The sequence below is a fragment of the Homo sapiens genome, chromosome 4 (genome assembly GCF_000001405.40).
Source record: "Homo sapiens chromosome 4, GRCh38.p14 Primary Assembly".
Classification (NCBI taxonomy): Eukaryota; Metazoa; Chordata; class Mammalia; order Primates; family Hominidae; genus Homo; species Homo sapiens.
In genome coordinates, this window is record NC_000004.12 from 105,259,334 (window position 1) to 105,282,393 (window position 23,060).

Sequence of the window (23,060 nt, forward strand, 5' to 3'; positions counted from 1 at the left end):
AGGGGATAGTAAATATTTTGTTTCTTAGTGTGGGTTCTACTTAACTGGGTATTTTCCATTTGTAAACTGTAAAATTATGTGCACTTTTCTGTATGTGTATTACATTGCAATAAAATTGTTTAAAAGTCAATTGAAATAGTTCTGTGTGTGGTTATGCCACAGCTTAATACAGAGTTAGATTAGACTTCTTTTCAAACTCATTTTGCATATAGACACCTATAATATCAGCTGCACAGCCTATATAATGCTATCCATAGCAATGAATTTGGTCTTTTGATTTTTCAGGAGAACTTGCGCCTGTCAGGGGCTGGATCCAGAAACCTGTGGTGCCTCCTTCTCTTTTGGTTGTTCATGGAGCATGTACTACAATGGATGTAAGTTTGCCAGAAGCAAGATCCCAAGGAAGTTTAAGCTGCTTGGGGATGACCCAAAAGAGGTTTGTTTACTTCCTGATGTATAATCGCTTTATTTTTCATAGAGAATTCATTAGCTTAGATGAAGTGAACAATATGACATATCTTGGTAAGCTCTTATTAATCAAAGTTTTTCCCAAACTGTAGATACACACTATTTTTTAAGTTGGCATAATAATCATATTATGCCAAAATAATAGATAAAATTTGAGCAACAAAAACTTCCTCTTTGGTCTTTTATGTTAATTCCAAAGTTTTAAAGGGGTGTCACTTCATTGTTAAAACTAAATGAGAATTGGTGATGTTTTTCATATTTTGACTCTGAATTATGGAAGTTACATAAGTACTACATTCAGAAAAGACCATTTTTAGTCACATTTATGTGCAATGAGATTCAAATAATTTAAAGTCACTGTAATGAATGCATTTAATAAAGTCACTGTAATGAATGCATTTAAGTAACTAAAACATTTAGATTTTAATATAACTCTGTAATGGAAATAAATGGACACTAATTTCTCACTGAAGTCATTGGTTTTTGTCTTGTCTGTAGAATACGTATTTCTTATAATTTGCAAATTGATAAATTTAACAACTTTTGGGTGGCATGTAGTCTAGAGTATAGATACTTCTTGACTTATGAGGAGACTACATTCCTATAAATCCGTTGTAAAATGAAAATCCATTTAATACCCCCAATAAACCCATCCTAAAGTAAAAAAAAAACGAAGCCATTATAGGTCAGGGACTGTCTCCGTACTAATTGAATGATGAGAAAACCTCAGTATATTTAGCATTTAGCTATGACCACATTTTCAGTCATTCTATACACTTACAATTATCTTTTGAATTTCGAATACAATTAAAATATTTCCATACTATAGATATTATAACATTGATGAGTCCCTTTAAATGAAGAATTTGTTAACCTTATTAAGCTTTCACTTACTATTATAGTCACAGTTAATAAAGCAAGTGCAAAAACTCCTGAAATCACAGTATAAGTTTTTTAAAGGATGTTTTCAATAATTAAAGTTTACTTAAATGTGCGAGACATCATTTCATAAGACAAGAATATGAATATTAATAACTTAATGAAAAGTACTGATTTTGCTTGCTGTCATTTTAATTTTCTACAGATAACTTTTTTTTTAACCACTGTTTTATCAAGTGATAAATGTTTATCACTTTCACGAGGTTTCATGTAAACCAAATCCAGAGGATACCAAGTAACTTATTGCCTCTGTTGGGTAGGAGAGCTCTGTTCAGAAACCTCCTCACCTTCTAAAATTTACATCTCTGCCAGGTGGTTATGTCTCACAACTTTTTTTTTTTAGAGAAATATCAATCTGAAATGAAGACTTCTAAGTATAAATGGAGCAGCTAAATATGATCACCTACCATTTTTTAACAGTATATTACTTGGAAAATCTGTTCTTCATGAGCAGGGCAGGTGGGGGTGTAACTGAGCATTTCCCCTTTCAAGTAAATTCTGCAAAGGTTTTCATGTATCCTGCATTCTAGTTCTGAAGCATTTTATCCATATTTGAAGTGTCCAGTAAATTTTAGTTGCTCTATGGAGAGATCATTCCAAATTATTTAAATACTATCTTTATAAACATAAAATGTAAAGATTAGAAATAGACAAATTAAGCTAAAGAAGTTCTTTTAATAGTTCATCTTCCTTGGTAGCTAAAAAATGTGACCTCTTTAAGACCATACGGCTTAATTCCCCTAACCCTACTCCTGGCACAGGCTTGTGTGTATAAAATGCAAAATATCTGCATGCAGTTAGAAAATCAATCTTATGAAAAAAACAAATAGCTAGATATTTACTAGCACATATGAAATTAAATGATAGTCATGTTTTAAAGATGCTTTATTTAGTAATAAAGGCACCATATATTGTGTTTGGGATTCAAAATGTAAGGGGAATAATCTAACTGATAGTCTCTTTTACATAGAGAAAATGGACTTAGAATTTAATATGTAGAATTATTCACTTTATACAGGAAGAGAAACTGGAGTCTCATTTGCAAAACCTGTCCACTCTTATGGCACCAACATATAAGAAACTTGCACCTGATGCATATAATAATCAGGTAAGTTTAAATAATCATTGGCAGCAATTGTAACAACTTACTTGTTACTAATGACCTATGTCCAAAAATATTTTTGAAACAATGATTTTTAAATATTATTCTAACTTTTCCTCTTAATTGTTGAAACCACTGCAGTGTTCAGTTTCGAGTATATAAAAATTATACCATACAAAAGTACATTTTTTTTGTCTTTTAGCTGTAAAGACATGCGCTTCTAAAAGTCACAGGCTGTTCTATCTACTAATCTTGTTCTCATATGAATAATTTTGTTTCTGTAAACAGACTATGGAGATTACATCAAAATTATGTGGCCCAAGCTATAGGTTCTAACTACCTATTTTTACTGCAAGTCTATAAGTATAAATGAGTATTCATAAGAATTTATAGACTTACAAATATTCACATAAAGCTATGCATATACTAACATTGTAAGTATATATATTTCGGTCCAGATGTGTCAGATTTTGCTGATCTTCCTTTTTTGTTTGACCTTGACTTCATACACCAAGCAAAAACATTTTTTTTTTCTATTTTACATGTGTATTCTAAACTATAGCTAGTTAAGACAGGTAGATGATTTGGTCAGAAATCTCTCATCATGAAGGCAAAAAACTAAAATCTTCACTGTTTCAGTAACATCAACAACAAAAGCATTAAGTGAAAGTCTATTACAAACTAAACACTGTGTTTAGTCACTGGGAACATAAAGGTGAGCAGTGCCATCTCTGTCTGTCTTTAAGAATTCCGTCTTTGCTGGGTACGGTGGCTCACACCTTTAATCCCAACACTTTGGGAGGCCAAGGCAGGTGGATCACCTGAGGTCAGGAGTTCTAGACCAGCCTGATCAACATGGAGAAACCCTGTCTCTACTAAAAATACAAAATTAGCTGGGTGTGGTGGCAGGCACCTGTAATCCCAGCTACTCGGAAGGCTAAGGCAGGAGAATAGCTTGAACCTGGGAGGTGGAGGTTGCAGTGAGCCGAAGTCAAACCATTGCACTCCAGCCTAGGCAACAAGAGCGAAACTCCATCTCAAAAAAAAAAAAAAATTCATCTTTAACTGGGTGCGGTAGTTTATGCCTGTAATCCCAGCTACCCAGGAGACCAGGAGTCTGAGGCTGCGGTGAGCCATGATTGCATCACTGTGCTCCATCCTGGGTGACAAAGATGACCCAGATTCTAAAAAAAAAGCAAAAAACAAAAGAATTCCTTCTTTAGTGGAGACAGAGACATATAAAATAAATAGCAATTTTAGAATTACACAGTTCCAGCTGGAATAGAAGAATGTGCACATTTCTAAAAAAATTTAAAAACAAAACCCAAAAGTAGACTAGATGTCACAAGCAGCCTTAGACGCTAAATAAAGATCTTTGAACTTTATTCTGTAGGTAACCATTGGGCTGTTTCAAGTGTGTGTTGGGGATGGAAGGGTAAAGTGATGTAATTCGTATTTTGAAAAATTTACTTAAAAGCCAAGTAAGGGAAATATAACTTAAATCTATGTAAGATTAGAGAGAGAAGAAAGCTATTGCAATCATTGGGCAAGAGATTTTAAGGACCTAAAGAAATGGCAGGAATTAAGTATGTACACTAACTAAGGTGGAGCTTAGAGAACTTGGTGACTAGATGTATGGATGAGAAAAGAATTTGGAGATACAACAAATTTCCAGTTTGGACAGGTAGTTCTATTAACTAGTATCAGAAATTGGTAAGAAATAGTAAGTTTTGGGATGGGGAGAAGATATCAAAATTTTGGACATGCTAGGCTTCTAGGTTAATTAGATGGAGAATCAGGAGAAAAATTCAGGCTAGCACTGTAGATTTGAGAGTCAGAATGCTGGCAGGACTTAAAGTTGAATACATAGGAATGAAAGGAGGTTTTCAAAGTAGAGATTATAAAGAGGACAAAGGGCTGATGATGGGATTCTGGAGCCATCAATCATTTTAGGCATGAGTGGAGGAAGAGAAGCCAATGAAGTAAGAACTGGGGGAGGGAGTAGAAGAAATGTAGTAGGAAAAGTGAAAGAGGGAGATGGATGGATGGAGGAAAGCTGGAATGATGAGAAGACACCCAGAGCAGAGTATACAGGAGCAATAGGTATGGGGCTCTGGGATGGGTGCTCTGTCATTTACTTGATAATATTAAAGACTCTCGTGGGATTAGATTAGTTTACACAGCAGACATGGACAAGGGACTAATCCTAAAATGATTTAGCTACTCTTCTTTTCCACTGTGGACTTTAACGTCCCAAACATTTTTTTTTTTTTTTGGTTCGAACAATAGAGGCAAATTAAACGATGGTCTATTTGTAAGTTATTTTATGTCAAATTATGTTTTTAGAAATGTGTATGAATATCTATGAAAAGTTTTTAAACACTATTAATAGTTGGATTAATACTGTTATTTTGTTTAGCTAGTATCACAAAGTATAAGGAGTGCTTTGATACTGTCGTAAAAGTTTAATTCTCAGCAAGAACTTCTGAAATAAATCAAGCTATAAAAATAAATAAATGAATGAGTCTATGTTGCTAGATTTAAAGTTGGGTCATTTTCTATTAAATGAATTTTTAATAGGTGCTGTTAATCAAATGGCTTTACTTGAGGCAGAATAACAAAGCATTGATGTTCTTTTTGCTCCCTTGATTCTTATTATGGACCGTCTCATACTTGAAACTATTTTATACATTTCCTAAAACTTAAGTACCCAAAATATGAAGCCATCAAATATGTTCAAGTTTTAATATTTATATATGAAAATGTGTTGATGTAATGTCTAGATAAATTAAGTCAATTAATAGTTGTAAATGGATGAGATGCTTCTGAATGGATAAAATATTTTTATATTGCATGGTAGGTACTATTGGTAATATTCATCCATGTATGTTAATATGCTTTAGAGATCAAAATAATAGCCATGTGATGTTTCCACACAGTACACGGGAAGACCATTTGATGTTATAGATGCTGTCATAAAACCTACTATTTGATCTTTACCTCCTTTCCCCAACTGAGTGTCGTATCTCTATTTCTCACATCTGAATATTCTTCCTTGCTTTATTCCTTGATTTCATGAAGTCTTATTGCTAAAGTTTAGTTGGCTCTCCACAGCATCTCTTCTGTCAGTCCCATGGAATTAGAGCTTCAGTTTTCTCAACTTAAATGTCCTTTCTTCGTGTCTATCCAGTAGACATATATTTGGCTCTGTCTTTTCTATGCCTGCCTTACAATTTAACAGTAGACCTGAAATAGCAGGTGTCAATCTCAAAATCGTGTGCTATTTATCATACATGAAGATGACATTTTAGACAAATGCTTCTAAGAGAGCTTTCTATGAAGATGGAAATATTCTCTATTTATGCTGTTCAGTGTAATAGGCACTAGCCACATGTGGTTATTATTTAACAGTTGATACGTGGCTAGTGTAATTGAGTTTAAATTAATGTAAAAATTAACACAAACAGCCACATGTGGATAATGGTTACCATAGTGAACAGCACAACCTTAGACCATGAGAAAGTTATGCATTTAGAATTGTCTTCCAGACATTTAGATGGATTTCCAGTAATTCATTCACAAAATCCTGCATGGTATTTTTTAGGAGATGGCATAAGTGTAATTTCTAGCTGATTGTATATCTGTTTTTGTTCAAGAAACAGAATAAAGCTAACTAGACCACAGCATGAACTGAACGGCCACAAAGCACACATCTATGTTAAAGAGTAGTTGGTACCTTCATTTTCCTTTGGCCAAAGTTTTATGAGGTTAGATAGACAAATACATATATGAATCCAACAGTAAATAATATGAAGCCACCACAAACTTTTATCCTAATGCAAGTTCATCTTCTAGCCATGATGGAGTAAACAGAGACTACATATGCCGTTACACATTTAAGAAAAAACTGACAAAATATATGAAACAATGGTTTTTAGACATAGAATAAGAAATTCAAGAGACAGTGGCACCAGAGAGAAAGGAAGTAAAAAGGTGAACCTATAAATACCCCAGTTTACTTCCTGAAGAGAGTATTAGGCTCCAGTGTAGCCAGTAGGAACCCAAACACACCCAGCCTTATCTCTGTATTAAGGAGACAAAGTTCAAAATTTGGAGAGGCCAAGGTGACGAGAGTTCACTATTCAGAATATCAGAGAGGAGAGAGTGTTATTGAGAAAAGCTCCAGAGACCTGCAGAGGGTTCTGATCCAGTCTTCAGCTGAGTATTAAACAGCACATGCATGTGAAAAAACTGCCAAGGCTAGGTAGGGAAAGAACCATCAGAAGAAGCAGGCAGAATAATCCCTTGATCTCACACAGGACCTGGAATAGTTCTTGATCATACCAGCCAGACGGAGAAGACTTCATAATACTATTCATAATTGTATTGCCTTGGTAGTAGAAGTAAATTTGGCAGTTCTGACCTCATCTAAAAATGCTTAAAATGAAAACATAGAAGGGCCAAACTGATTCTAAGTAATTTAACTGCATCACAGTACAAAAATTAAAAAAAAAATCTACCAACAAGGTAAAATTTATAGTCTAGCATTCCATCAGAAAATACAAGGCATACAAAGAAAAAAGAAAATATAACCTTTACTGGGGAACAGGCAGAAATCAATCAATAAAAATAGTCCCAGAACTGACATATGTGATACAATATGTAAATAAGTTCATTAAAATGGCTATCATATTTCATATGTTAAAATGCCAGAGGAAAGCATGAGAGTGATAAGGAAAGATCAGAAGATATTAAAATACCCTACAATGACCTTCTAGAAGTGAAAAATATATATCTAGATTAAAAATACACTAGGCGGAATTAACAGATTAAGGAACTTGAAGACATAGTAATAGAAATTTTTCAGTATAAAGAAAAAACTGAAAAAAATGAATATATAAAAGACCTATTAGCCAATATTGTTACACTAATATATGTGTAATTGGAGTACCAGAAGGAGGTGGGAGACAGAAAAATATTTAAAGAAACAATGGCCAAATTTTTTTCAGATTTGTTCAAAACTGTGAACCCACAGATCTCAGCAGCTCAGCAAACCCCAGATTAAAAAACAAAGACATAAAAAAAGACTATCAAAAATTTATAATCAACTTGCTTACAATCTGTGATAAAGAGAAACTCAGAAAGGCAAATGGAGAAAAAAGGACATATTACACTAGGTGGGAAAAAATAAGACAGGAGACTTCATTCAGAAAAAGGCAAGAGAGAAGATGTAAGAGAAACATCTTTAACATACTAAAAGAAAAAAGACTCTCCACCCAGAAATATATAACCAATGAAAACAACTCTCAAAAAAGACAGCAAAATAAAGAATATTTTTTCAGACATACATACAAAAGCTGAAAGAATTCACCACCAACAAACTAGCACTTTAAAAATGTTAAACGAAATCCTTCAGGAAGAAAGAACATGATACCAGACAGAAATCCAGATCAACATAATGAAATGAACAGTATCAAAAATAGTAAACATGGTTAAAAGACTTTTAAAAAAATGATAACTTGCTATCTTAAAAATATATTAACAATGTATTATGAGGTTTATAACACGTAGAAGTAGCACAGAGGCTGAGGAATTGAAAGTATATTATTGTAAAGTACTTATACGATATGTGGACTGGGTATATTACTTGGCTGTAAACTGTGAGACGTTAGAGTACACTGTGTACCTTAAACCACTAAAAAAAAAAAAAAAAGTATATAGCTAATCAGCCAGTAAAGACAGAAAAATGAAATCAATCCAAAAATGTTTTTAAAAATATATAGGACCAAAAAAAGATAAATATAAAAATAAAACAAATAGCAAGATGGTTTATTTAAACCCAACTGTATCAACAACCACATTAAATGTAAATGGTTTTAACACCCCTAATTATAAGGCAGAGCTTGTGATATTGAAAAAAAAGCAAAAACCAAGAAAACCACTTTAAATATAAAGATACAAATAAATTAAAAAGATATTTTTAACATAAAAAATGATGTTGAAAAGACATAACAGGAAAAAATATGATTATTGCAGTAGGTACAGAAAAACCATTTGATAATATTCAACATTCATAAAAGGAAACTTTCTCAACCTATTAAATACATAAATGGAAAGCCAAAAGCTAATGCTATACTTAGTGGTGAAAGACTAATACTTGACCCCTAAGATAAGGAACAAGACAACAATGTCCATTTTTAACCAACTGCTTCTATTCAACATCAAACTGTAAATTTTAGAAAGTGCAGTAAGGCAATAAATAAAGCAGTCAAGATTGGGTAGGAAAAAATAAAACTGTACTTATTTGCAGATGACATGTTTGTCTACATAAGAAGTCTCAAAAAATCTACCAGAAAATGAAATTAATATATGAATTTAGCAAAGTTGTGAAATACAAAATTCAAGTGTATTTTTATATACTAGCAATAAATAAATCAAAATAAACCATTAAAATAGCATCAAAATATAAAATTCTTAGACATACATTTGACAAAAATGTATAAGATTATATACTGGAAACTAAAACATTGCTGAGATAAATTATAGAAAACTTCAGTAACTGGAGAGATACACTATGTTAATGGATCAAAAGACTAAATATTATTAAGATGTCAGTTCTCCCCAAACTAATCAATATGTTCAATACATGATGTTTCAAAACCCCAGCAGGTTTTTTGAAAGAATTGGACAAGATGGCTGTAAAATATATATACTTGGAAATGCAAAGGACTTGGAATAGTCAAATAATATTTTAAAATAAGGGCAGAATTTGAGACTATATATTGCATGGTTTTCAGATTTACTGAAATCTATAATTGCTACTGTCTGTCAAGACAGTTTGATATTGCCCAGGCGCAGTGGCTCACGCCTGTAATTCCAGCACTTTCGGAGGCCGAGGTGGGTGGATCACTTGAGGCCAGGAGTTTTGAGACCAGCCTGGCCAACATGGCAAAACTCTATCTCTAATAAAAATACAAAAAATTACTGGGGCATGGTGGCGCGTGCTTATAGTCCCAGCTGCTTGGGAGGTTGAGGCCTGAGAATCGCTTGAATCCAGGAGGCAGAGGTTGCAGTGAGCCCAGATCGTGCCACTGCACTCCAGCCTGGGTGACAGAGTGGGACTCTGTCTCAATAAATAAATAAAATTTTTAAAAAGTTTGATATTGACATACCTACATACACACCATTATACACAAGTGGATCAGAATAGAGAATCCTTAAGTAGACCCAACATATATAATATGGTCAATTGATTTTTAACAAAGATGATTCAATTGGGAAGGGATAACCATTTTATCCAGTAGTATCTGAACAGTTGGAAAGCCATAAGGGAAAAAAGGTAATCTTGACCCTTAATTTCACACCATTTATAAAAATTAACTCCAAATAAATCCATTTATATGAAATTCTAGAAAATGAAAATCTGTAGTGATAGATTAGTAGTTGTCTGAGAACAAAGCAGGAAGCATGAATTATACAGGGGCATGAGGAAATTTTTAAGAGTAATGAATATGTACTTTATTTTGGTTGTGACAAATATATATCAAAACTCAAATAGCATACTTTATGGCCTCAATAACACTATAAAATAAAAATTTTACCATGTCAAGATATTTGCTCTATTTTGTGTCATTCCATTTTGTTTCTGGATATATATTTAAGTTCAAAACATTTTTTTAAAGTTCTAAATGGTCTAAATACTAGTGAGTTTTCGGTGTAAGAGTAAAACTAACTACTTTCGCATTCACACACACTTTTATTTTTCAGATTGAATATGAACACAGAGCACCAGAGTGCCGTCTGGGTCTGAAGGAAGGCCGTCCATTCTCAGGGGTCACTGCATGTTTGGACTTCTGTGCTCATGCCCACAGAGACTTGCACAACATGCAGAATGGCAGCACATTGGTAAGTTGGGCTGAGGACAGCTTAGCAGCTGTTGAGTCTGTTCTCACACTGCTAATAAAGACATATGCAAGACTGGGTAATTTATAAAGGAAAGAGATTTAATTGACTCACAGTTCCACATGGCTGTGGAGGCCTCACAATCATAGCTGAAGGCAAATGAGGAGCAAAGTCACATCTTACATGGCGGCAGGCAAGAGAACATGTGCAGGGGAACTCCCCTTTATAAAATCATCAGATCTCATGAGACTTACTCTCCTGAGAACAGCATGGGAAAGATCTGCCCCCATGATTCAATTACCTCCCACTGGGTCCTTCCCAAAACACATGGGAATTTTGGGAGCTACAATTCAAGATGAGATTTAGGTAGGGACACAGCCAGACCATATCAGCAGCATCTCATGTTGAGGAGCAGAACACTGGAATTTAGTAGCATTCGGTTAGAGTAATATGTTGTCTGCAGGTTTCACTGGACAGCAATATTTTCATGAATGAATTCCTGTTGCAAAGTGACCTGCTTTGGCATAACTAGCACTCTCATGATAGGTTGGCACATTAGTTTCCTGTCAATTGTGTTGACAAGCACATGAGAATCATGGAAATCCTTGGTGTTAATCTAAACCAGTGACTATGCATTGCCAGTTACAGTTAACTTCCAGGAAAATCTCAAAATTCAGTGCCAGTTACCTGGTAGATTGTAATCAGTTAAGCAAAAAGCCAAATACAAGCCATTCACCTTACAGAGAGAGAAGCATATTCACCTTACAGAGAGAGAAGCATAAATGAGAAACACATCATCATTGTCACAGTAACTGTGGTAACCTATTGTAAAAGATTCACAGTGCAAAAGAGCCTGACTACATATTACAGTGGGTAAAATGGATCGGTCTTGTAATTGGAGGCAGTGGTGAGGGGAAAATAGATACATGTTATATATATATATATATATATATATGTTCTATACCAACAAAGGGTTCAGGGTATAATTTTGCATGTAAAGGGGTGACCCAGAGTAGAGATAAAGAACAAAATATTCTGTTGAAAAAACTATGAATCAATCAACCTAATGAATTATCAACATGGATGTAGGTGTAGTTGAAGAAGATGGTCAGTGAGAATATGGAAACAGATATCAGGAATTAAAGTCATATTCTAGGGCAGAAAAGCATTCATGGAGGTATTAGATGATAGCTGAAGTAATTTGAAGAAGCTGGTGTGAAGTTTTTGTTGAGAAGCAGAGAAGATATTAATTTAATGTTCTAGATCAGAGATTGGAAAACTCTTCTCTATAAAGGGCAAGATGGTAAATATTTTAGGGACTGCAGGCCACATAGGATTTCTGTCACATTGTTTGGTGGGGTTTTTTTGTTTATTTTGTTTTTTAAAAACTCCTTGAAAATGTAAAAACCATTCTTAGTTTACTGGCCATACAAACACAAGCTGTGAGGCACATTAGCCGTAGGTTCTGGTTTCCTAACTTCTGATCCAGAAGAACAAACACAAGGCCTACCAACCACCCCAACATCTAAAATCATCACTAATCATGTACTCAGCACCTGCTCATTATTAGGAGGCTATGCTAGTTTCTGAAAAGCAGAAGTAGTAAATGATAACTGGGGCTATAGTGCATCCTAATATAACCATGTTTCATTCCAGGAAGGTGACAGAGAGTAAGATGATGAGAAGGATGTTTAGAATCAAGAAGAATTTGCCTCTGATAGAGCATGGGTTCTGTGAAGTAAAATGGAAAGGAGCACTAGATAAGAACTGAATAGGGTTAAATATGTATGGGAAAAGTAACAAGGTGCTCAGAGACATGAATTTGAAGACTTCTGTGCAGAAAGTGACAGGCTCATTAATACCATCTCATGTTGAAGTTATTTCTAAAGTCAGTCCATTGTGATCACATTTCTCTCAAGAATATCTTCTAATTTTATTTTAGATCACATTAGATCACATTGTCTCCATTGATCAAAAACACTAAATACTAAAAAGTTAGTATTTAAAAACCACAAATAATCTTTTACCAAAGCTAGTGTAATTGTAGTAACTAAAGCAAAAAGTACCATTTAATTATCAAAGCAACAGAGGTAGCTTTCCTCCCTCCACCCCTTACCCTTTTCAGAGTACCCACTTATATGGTCATATTTCAGAAAAGAAATGAAGAAAAGAGAAAGTTAGGTTTGACAGAGTACAAAGGAGGAGAGACAAGAGAGTGAAAATAGTATTAAGTTGCATATTACCTGTATCAGCCAAATCTTTACCTTTTCATTTTTTATATTTTTACTTCAGTTATCTTATGGAAATTTCTTAAACAGAGAGAGTTAGGTGTCAGGTATGTGAAAAGACATGAAATTTGTGTTCAGAAGTATGAGATGAGGCAAATGTGATACTACCAAAAACAGAGGAAGTCATTTCGTAGAAAAAACTTTTAGCCTGTTTTTGAAGAGGCTTCACATCTAGCACATCTATTTTTGAAGTGTGAAAAGCAAGAGAGTGCTTCATTTTGGGGGAGTGTTGCTTCTTCCCATAGACAGAAACATATGTGAAGAACAAGGGTCACCACAGCTAACTGTTCCTGATAGACTCAGAGAAAGGGTGGGTGGGCAATGTCAATTTGTCTTATCTCCCTGTACCATTTTGTTGCTATTTTCATTAATAACAGGTAGGATGGTTTTATGGTAATATATATGTCACTGATCTGGATCAACTAGGCCACCAACACAAATCTGAATACTGAGAGGAGAAAGATACACACACACACACACGTTTTCTTTGGGACCTGTAGTTGAGGCTGTAATGTCTTACTTCCCTACCAGGTATGCACTCTCACTAGAGAAGACAATCGAGAATTTGGAGGAAAACCTGAGGATGAGCAGCTTCACGTTCTGCCTTTATACAAAGTCTCTGACGTGGATGAGTTTGGGAGTGTGGAAGCTCAGGAGGAGAAAAAACGGAGTGGTGCCATTCAGGTACTGAGTTCTTTTCGGCGAAAAGTCAGGATGTTAGCAGAGCCAGTCAAGACTTGCCGACAAAGGAAACTAGAAGCCAAGAAAGCTGCAGCTGAAAAGCTTTCCTCCCTGGAGAACAGCTCAAATAAAAATGAAAAGGAAAAGTCAGCCCCATCACGTACAAAACAAACTGAAAACGCAAGCCAGGCTAAACAGTTGGCAGGTAAATTTAATGTAAAGCATTTGTAGATAAATGTGTTGTGTGGTATATTAAAAATGAAAATTATTTTGGTTTTGCCCCCATCAACTTGTAAGTTCTGGGGTACACATGCAGGATGTGCAGGTTTGTTATACAGGTAAACATGTGCCATGGTGATTTGCTGCACAGATCAACCCATTACCTAGGTATTAAGCCCAGCATCTTCCTGATGCACCCCTACCAATAGGCGCCAGTGTGTGTTGTCCCCACTCCCCCACCATGTGTCCATGTGCTCTTATTGTAAAATGAACATTGTTAATTTTGGAAAGTTATATCAATCATGGTCTTAGTTCTGTGCCAGAGTCTTCTCTAAAGTAGCAAGGGCCAGGCTTTGTTCTCAGAGATGGTAATGAGATATTGCACCATCAACATGGAAAACATGGAAAAGTCTGGATTTTATTCTATAATAAACAGCAACTTTTTTTAACAGGTAAGTGATACGATGAAATTCATTGTAATTTGGCAGTAGGCCAAATTAGTAGAGGAGCTAATAGTTTGGAGATAAACACAGTAAACCAGAACTGAGGTAACAAGACCTTGAATTTTGTTGGTTAGTAGCAAAGATATAGCAAAATGATGCAAATGAGCTCTTCCAAAATGGGAAAAAGAAAATACATTGGTGACAAAACACTGGAATGAAAGAGAAGAAAAGTTTAAAGATGACCCCAAAGTTTTAAACCTAAACTTAACCTACTGTTTTAGGTTTCTAAAACAGTACTATTTATTGAAATAAGTAAGTTTGAAAATATGATTGAGAGAGAGAGAGGGGAGAATGAAACATTTTTCCTTAGACATGTTGAGTCTGTGGTTTAGGAGGGGTTCTACATGTAGATTATGCTACAAAACTTTTACCCATCAAAATAGATTACAGCTGTAGTAATAACAATAGAACATTATTCATGAATACTAAGTTATTGTCTTTCCATAGCCTCCTGCTTTATGTCTGCAGTTTGTAAAAAGAAAAAAAATCCAAAATTTGGGATGGTATTGGCCTGGCCATTAACAAAAGCAAACCAGTTTGCTTAAAACTAGCCATCTTTGCTGCTTCATGAAGTCAAATTTCTCTACTGATTCATTTCCAAGCTCAGAGGAACTAAGTTAAATAATTTAGAATATGCTAAAGATGCTTGATAAGTGTTTATTGACTGGTTGACTTAACACTAAGTAAATACTGTTCACTTAGGTTAGCTGTGAAATATAATTAGATAGAACCTTGTCTCTGCTCCCTTTTAACTGGCTTCTGCAGGTAATAATCCCTTCTGTTCTCAGAACTGCCATTGCAGTTTCATCTATTTGTTCTTAACTCATATGACTTTTTAAAGTGAGGTCAAAACAGAAGTATGACTTTTAAAAGTTTCATTTACAAAGCTGAAAGTTTCTTTAAAGTGTTATCTACAACTGTGTTAACTTCCTTTCTGGAAAGCCTGCTTATAAAGTAGCACTTGTTGATTATATAAGATGCTTTTTGTGTTTAAATACGTGTCATTCTTTTTTTTCACAACATTCCCGAATCTTACATAATAAATCTTATTTTAATTATTTAGCAAATTCCATTGCATGCCAGGCAATGAAGAAGTAAGTAAAATAAAACATTTTCCTTCCCATTTAGGAATTTACTTACCAGTGGGGGTGAAGAGAGGGCTAAAAACATAACTATAATACATTGTGAGTATTGCTTTATCAGATCTATCTTTGCAGTTGAGTATTACAAAAGCACTAGAAGATGAGGTCAAAGCGGTCCCTTGAGGAAGGGATGACTACACCAAGGAAGGATAGGGAGAGAGGGAGGAAAAGGGAGGCACTTCAAGCAGAGGCATGTTCAGAAGTTCCAAAGAACATTTTGCTCTCAATGGAATGGCTTTGGATGTTTATTACATTTTTTTTTTCACTAAGTTTTGTATTTCTAATGCCTTAGACAAAAAATTGTGCTGGACAATGATCAGAACCCTGACTTTGCTCTTATCTTTGCTTAATGGGTGTCGTATATCACTAGTGGAGTTTCTTACCTACATTTAAGTATCCTCACTAGCCTTCATAAAATAATCATCAACATCAAAGATACCTGTTTCTGTTCTCTCTTACCCTGTCCACAGAACTTTTGCGACTTTCAGGACCAGTCATGCAGCAGTCCCAGCAGCCCCAGCCTCTACAGAAGCAGCCACCACAGCCCCAGCAGCAGCAGAGACCCCAGCAGCAGCAGCCACATCACCCTCAGACAGAGTCTGTCAACTCTTATTCTGCTTCTGGATCCACCAATCCATACATGAGACGGCCCAATCCAGTTAGTCCTTATCCAAACTCTTCACACACTTCAGATATCTATGGAAGCACCAGCCCTATGAACTTCTATTCCACCTCATCTCAAGCTGCAGGTTCATATTTGAATTCTTCTAATCCCATGAACCCTTACCCTGGGCTTTTGAATCAGAATACCCAATATCCATCATATCAATGCAATGGAAACCTATCAGTGGACAACTGCTCCCCATATCTGGGTTCCTATTCTCCCCAGTCTCAGCCGATGGATCTGTATAGGTATCCAAGCCAAGACCCTCTGTCTAAGCTCAGTCTACCACCCATCCATACACTTTACCAGCCAAGGTTTGGAAATAGCCAGAGTTTTACATCTAAATACTTAGGTTATGGAAACCAAAATATGCAGGGAGATGGTTTCAGCAGTTGTACCATTAGACCAAATGTACATCATGTAGGGAAATTGCCTCCTTATCCCACTCATGAGATGGATGGCCACTTCATGGGAGCCACCTCTAGATTACCACCCAATCTGAGCAATCCAAACATGGACTATAAAAATGGTGAACATCATTCACCTTCTCACATAATCCATAACTACAGTGCAGCTCCGGGCATGTTCAACAGCTCTCTTCATGCCCTGCATCTCCAAAACAAGGAGAATGACATGCTTTCCCACACAGCTAATGGGTTATCAAAGATGCTTCCAGCTCTTAACCATGATAGAACTGCTTGTGTCCAAGGAGGCTTACACAAATTAAGTGATGCTAATGGTCAGGAAAAGCAGCCATTGGCACTAGTCCAGGGTGTGGCTTCTGGTGCAGAGGACAACGATGAGGTCTGGTCAGACAGCGAGCAGAGCTTTCTGGATCCTGACATTGGGGGAGTGGCCGTGGCTCCAACTCATGGGTCAATTCTCATTGAGTGTGCAAAGCGTGAGCTGCATGCCACAACCCCTTTAAAGAATCCCAATAGGAATCACCCCACCAGGATCTCCCTCGTCTTTTACCAGCATAAGAGCATGAATGAGCCAAAACATGGCTTGGCTCTTTGGGAAGCCAAAATGGCTGAAAAAGCCCGTGAGAAAGAGGAAGAGTGTGAAAAGTATGGCCCAGACTATGTGCCTCAGAAATCCCATGGCAAAAAAGTGAAACGGGAGCCTGCTGAGCCACATGAAACTTCAGAGCCCACTTACCTGCGTTTCATCAAGTCTCTTGCCGAAAGGACCATGTCCGTGACCACAGACTCCACAGTAACTACATCTCCATATGCCTTCACTCGGGTCACAGGGCCTTACAACAGATATATATGATATCACCCCCTTTTGTTGGTTACCTCACTTGAAAAGACCACAACCAACCTGTCAGTAGTATAGTTCTCATGACGTGGGCAGTGGGGAAAGGTCACAGTATTCATGACAAATGTGGTGGGAAAAACCTCAGCTCACCAGCAACAAAAGAGGTTATCTTACCATAGCACTTAATTTTCACTGGCTCCCAAGTGGTCACAGATGGCATCTAGGAAAAGACCAAAGCATTCTATGCAAAAAGAAGGTGGGGAAGAAAGTGTTCCGCAATTTACATTTTTAAACACTGGTTCTATTATTGGACGAGATGATATGTAAATGTGATCCCCCCCCCCCGCTTACAACTCTACACATCTGTGACCACTTTTAATAATATCAAGTTTGCATAGTCATGGAACACAAATCAAACAAGTACTGTAGTATTACAGTGACAGGAATCTTAAAATACCATCTGGTGCTGAATATATGATGTACTGAAATACTGGAATTATGGCTTTTTGAAATGCAGTTTTTACTGTAATCTTAACTTTTATTTATCAAAATAGCTACAGGAAACATGAATAGCAGGAAAACACTGAATTTGTTTGGATGTTCTAAGAAATGGTGCTAAGAAAATGGTGTCTTTAATAGCTAAAAATTTAATGCCTTTATATCATCAAGATGCTATCAGTGTACTCCAGTGCCCTTGAATAATAGGGGTACCTTTTCATTCAAGTTTTTATCATAATTACCTATTCTTACACAAGCTTAGTTTTTAAAATGTGGACATTTTAAAGGCCTCTGGATTTTGCTCATCCAGTGAAGTCCTTGTAGGACAATAAACGTATATATGTACATATATACACAAACATGTATATGTGCACACACATGTATATGTATAAATATTTTAAATGGTGTTTTAGAAGCACTTTGTCTACCTAAGCTTTGACAACTTGAACAATGCTAAGGTACTGAGATGTTTAAAAAACAAGTTTACTTTCATTTTAGAATGCAAAGTTGATTTTTTTAAGGAAACAAAGAAAGCTTTTAAAATATTTTTGCTTTTAGCCATGCATCTGCTGATGAGCAATTGTGTCCATTTTTAACACAGCCAGTTAAATCCACCATGGGGCTTACTGGATTCAAGGGAATACGTTAGTCCACAAAACATGTTTTCTGGTGCTCATCTCACATGCTATACTGTAAAACAGTTTTATACAAAATTGTATGACAAGTTCATTGCTCAAAAATGTACAGTTTTAAGAATTTTCTATTAACTGCAGGTAATAATTAGCTGCATGCTGCAGACTCAACAAAGCTAGTTCACTGAAGCCTATGCTATTTTATGGATCATAGGCTCTTCAGAGAACTGAATGGCAGTCTGCCTTTGTGTTGATAATTATGTACATTGTGACGTTGTCATTTCTTAGCTTAAGTGTCCTCTTTAACAAGAGGATTGAGCAGACTGATGCCTGCATAAGATGAATAAACAGGGTTAGTTCCATGTGAATCTGTCAGTTAAAAAGAAACAAAAACAGGCAGCTGGTTTGCTGTGGTGGTTTTAAATCATTAATTTGTATAAAGAAGTGAAAGAGTTGTATAGTAAATTAAATTGTAAACAAAACTTTTTTAATGCAATGCTTTAGTATTTTAGTACTGTAAAAAAATTAAATATATACATATATATATATATATATATATATATATATATGAGTTTGAAGCAGAATTCACATCATGATGGTGCTACTCAGCCTGCTACAAATATATCATAATGTGAGCTAAGAATTCATTAAATGTTTGAGTGATGTTCCTACTTGTCATATACCTCAACACTAGTTTGGCAATAGGATATTGAACTGAGAGTGAAAGCATTGTGTACCATCATTTTTTTCCAAGTCCTTTTTTTTATTGTTAAAAAAAAAAGCATACCTTTTTTCAATACTTGATTTCTTAGCAAGTATAACTTGAACTTCAACCTTTTTGTTCTAAAAATTCAGGGATATTTCAGCTCATGCTCTCCCTATGCCAACATGTCACCTGTGTTTATGTAAAATTGTTGTAGGTTAATAAATATATTCTTTGTCAGGGATTTAACCCTTTTATTTTGAATCCCTTCTATTTTACTTGTACATGTGCTGATGTAACTAAAACTAATTTTGTAAATCTGTTGGCTCTTTTTATTGTAAAGAAAAGCATTTTAAAAGTTTGAGGAATCTTTTGACTGTTTCAAGCAGGAAAAAAAAATTACATGAAAATAGAATGCACTGAGTTGATAAAGGGAAAAATTGTAAGGCAGGAGTTTGGCAAGTGGCTGTTGGCCAGAGACTTACTTGTAACTCTCTAAATGAAGTTTTTTTGATCCTGTAATCACTGAAGGTACATACTCCATGTGGACTTCCCTTAAACAGGCAAACACCTACAGGTATGGTGTGCAACAGATTGTACAATTACATTTTGGCCTAAATACATTTTTGCTTACTAGTATTTAAAATAAATTCTTAATCAGAGGAGGCCTTTGGGTTTTATTGGTCAAATCTTTGTAAGCTGGCTTTTGTCTTTTTAAAAAATTTCTTGAATTTGTGGTTGTGTCCAATTTGCAAACATTTCCAAAAATGTTTGCTTTGCTTACAAACCACATGATTTTAATGTTTTTTGTATACCATAATATCTAGCCCCAAACATTTGATTACTACATGTGCATTGGTGATTTTGATCATCCATTCTTAATATTTGATTTCTGTGTCACCTACTGTCATTTGTTAAACTGCTGGCCAACAAGAACAGGAAGTATAGTTTGGGGGGTTGGGGAGAGTTTACATAAGGAAGAGAAGAAATTGAGTGGCATATTGTAAATATCAGATCTATAATTGTAAATATAAAACCTGCCTCAGTTAGAATGAATGGAAAGCAGATCTACAATTTGCTAATATAGGAATATCAGGTTGACTATATAGCCATACTTGAAAATGCTTCTGAGTGGTGTCAACTTTACTTGAATGAATTTTTCATCTTGATTGACGCACAGTGATGTACAGTTCACTTCTGAAGCTAGTGGTTAACTTGTGTAGGAAACTTTTGCAGTTTGACACTAAGATAACTTCTGTGTGCATTTTTCTATGCTTTTTTAAAAACTAGTTTCATTTCATTTTCATGAGATGTTTGGTTTATAAGATCTGAGGATGGTTATAAATACTGTAAGTATTGTAATGTTATGAATGCAGGTTATTTGAAAGCTGTTTATTATTATATCATTCCTGATAATGCTATGTGAGTGTTTTTAATAAAATTTATATTTATTTAATGCACTCTAAGTGTTGTCTTCCTGAAGTTTTTTTAGTGCTTGAATGACTGCCACCTCAATGAAGAAAAGGGAATAAAAAATAATTTTTAAAGACACTTTTAAGATAGATAGTTAGTCTTATGTTAAACTATATCTAAGATAATACCCAAATAATTAAGGCCGAAGTATTTCTCTGGTTAAATGGTGTAGATATTCACTCACTTTTCCTTCCAACTAACTTGTTAGTGTATTCACTTTGCATGTGTAGACAGTGTAAATCAGATAGAGAGTAAAGCACCTCTAATCTTAGATTGCCCCCTCCAGTGTTTTGTGAAGGGTTTCAGTGATATAGCAGGTGCACTAAGGTTGAATTCATATTGCTTAGAACTAAGGCCAACTCTGTTTTCAGACTCTCACCTTCCACTTCTTGCCTACTCTTCTTAAGGGAAGATACTTCTTCCTGTACATCAGAAAGGCAGGGTGGTAGGCTGGAGGAATGGGGAGAGGAGGCCTGGAAGGTATCAGACAAATATACTTGTCCTCATCTAGTCCCACATGGCTTCAAGGAGCTTGAGGCTAAATCATCCTCATCTCTACCCATTCTCTGCCATGTGAATCATCCCATATATAATATCAGTGCACTCCAGCTGAAACACTTCCTAGAACCACAAGATGCTAAACAATAGTTGTGGGAATCTTCCAGCCCTCCATTCCTTCCCAAATTGGCAGAGAAATCATTTTCATCATGCATGAAGTAAAGGAATTCCCTTTCTCACATTTCTCTCTGTTCAGCCTGGGCCAAATCTGATTCAAATAGTGCAACCCAGGAAATGACTACCATTTAGTAACCTCTGAGCTTATTGACTGGGAGATTCCTCCAGGACTCTGCAAGCCAGGATATTAAGAGAAGCCACAACATCACTGTTAAAACACAATGATCTAATGACTTGGCTTTTGTTTTAATTTCAACCCTCTGAGCACATTGTCAACCCTCATTTCACCATCCATCATCTGGCTGAACCTTGGGAACCTCCCACTCCACATTTGCAAGTCTCCACTGCCCAGGGCAGGGAGAATTTTAGACTCCACAAGCTCAAAAGCCTTTCCTGCTAGAGCCCCATTCTGCTAGGATCTCTACTAGTGGAGGCTGGTGATGCTAGCACACCATAAATGAACGTGTGGGAAGGCCTGCTGCTTCTGAGCCTGCAGGTGGACTTGAACAGGGGAAACAGCTGGAAATGACAGATGAGCCAGCATTCACAAAGCTTTATTGGCCCCTTGCCTCTCCTGGAAAGACATAACAAGGCCAAACCTTTTCTTGTAGGCACACACAGCTGCCCTGTCACACAGTACCACCCGTTTCTTCCTCACTTTTTTTCAGTTGGTTTATCATAAAAATCCTTCCACTATGGGTAATTCTAGCTTATCTTTGAGTCCTGCCTGATTCCACTGCCCAGCACTCATCGGCTGTGTAAGAGCCAGACTTAGCGAGAAAAGTCATTTTTCAACAAGGCACCTAATCCGTAGAGTGTGGGGAATTTTAGATTGATTTTGTTGGTTTAAAGGCCATCTGGAGGCGAGTATCAAAAAAAGAAAAAAGGGTGTGGGGAAGCATCTTTTCTTCCCTTAATTGATTTGAGGGAAGTGCTTGTTTCATGAAGACACTTGTTTATTAACTTCAATCACCCAACTTATCCGTAAGGCGTCAGGGACTTTATCTTCCCCACCCCCATTGCCCCCCTCCCCCAATACACTCACAGTTGTTGAAAGAATGAAAAAGTGTTCACAAAAGATGCTTAGAATTAACTCATTTATGTTATTTTGGTTTTACTAGGAGAATTGTTTCAAAGAACGAAGATGCTTTTGTTCCCATATATTAGAGGCTACCTGCCTAAATTCTCTCTAACCAGGTAGTTTCTCACAAACTTCCTTGGTTTTCTCATCCAACATTCACTCTTTAAAAGAGCCACACTTTCCCTCACATATATACTCAACAAATATAGTTTTTTGGAGGGATTTCTTTTTATGCTGTTTCAATTTGGCATTTTACTCCCTAATGAGGTTTTTTTTGGCACAAATGTATGAGGTATGTGAGAAAGTTTGTTACATATATATATATACACACACATATATATACTATATATATACTATATATACATATATAATATATATGTATACATATATATTATATGCATAGTGATGAAGTCAAGGTATTTAGGGTATCCATCACCAAGTACAACATTTTTCTTAAGTATAGTCACCCTACTCTATTAACTTTTTTTCGGAGATGGAGTCAAGACTCCACTCTGTCGCCCAAGCTGGAGTACAGTGGCACAATCTCAGGTCACTGCAACCTCCACCTCCTGGGTTCAAGTGATTCTCCCACCTCAGCCTCCCAAGTAGCTGGGACTACAGGTGCACGCCACCACGCCTGGCTAATTTTTTGTATTTTTAGTAGAGTCAGGGTTTCACCTAGCCAGGCTGGTCTCAAACTCCTGACTTCAGGTGATCCGCCCACCTCAGCCTCCCAAAGTGCTGGGATTATAGGTTTGCACCACTGCACATGGCCAAATATTGACTTTATTCTATCTTACTATATATTTGTATACTTTAACCCAGTT

The 23,060-nt window shown here is 35.9% G+C and overlaps 1 protein-coding gene and 1 long non-coding RNA gene across 8 annotated transcripts in view; one reads left to right on the forward strand and one right to left on the reverse strand.

The window, feature by feature from the left end:
• The window catches only part of TET2 (tet methylcytosine dioxygenase 2), a 133,929-nt gene extending 113,459 nt beyond the window's left edge, over nucleotides 1-20,470 (forward strand). For 5 of the 7 annotated variants that reach the window (XM_024454103.2, XM_024454102.2, NM_001127208.3 and 2 more), the window contains 5 exons: nucleotides 286-436; nucleotides 2,426-2,515; nucleotides 10,277-10,414; nucleotides 13,231-13,585; nucleotides 15,715-20,470. In XM_024454103.2, the coding sequence (XP_024309871.1) occupies nucleotides 286-436; nucleotides 2,426-2,515; nucleotides 10,277-10,414; nucleotides 13,231-13,585; nucleotides 15,715-17,186 (2,206 nt within the window). In that variant the 3' untranslated portion in view covers nucleotides 17,187-20,470. Of the gene's footprint in view, nucleotides 1-285; nucleotides 437-2,425; nucleotides 2,516-10,276; nucleotides 10,415-13,230; nucleotides 13,586-15,714 lie in introns of those variants that run through there. The other 2 variants (XM_047415839.1, XM_047415840.1) reach the window with 2 other exon arrangements.
• The window catches only part of TET2-AS1 (TET2 antisense RNA 1), a 181,528-nt gene that overhangs the window by 87,980 nt on the left and 70,488 nt on the right, over nucleotides 1-23,060 (reverse strand). The window lies entirely within an intron of this gene.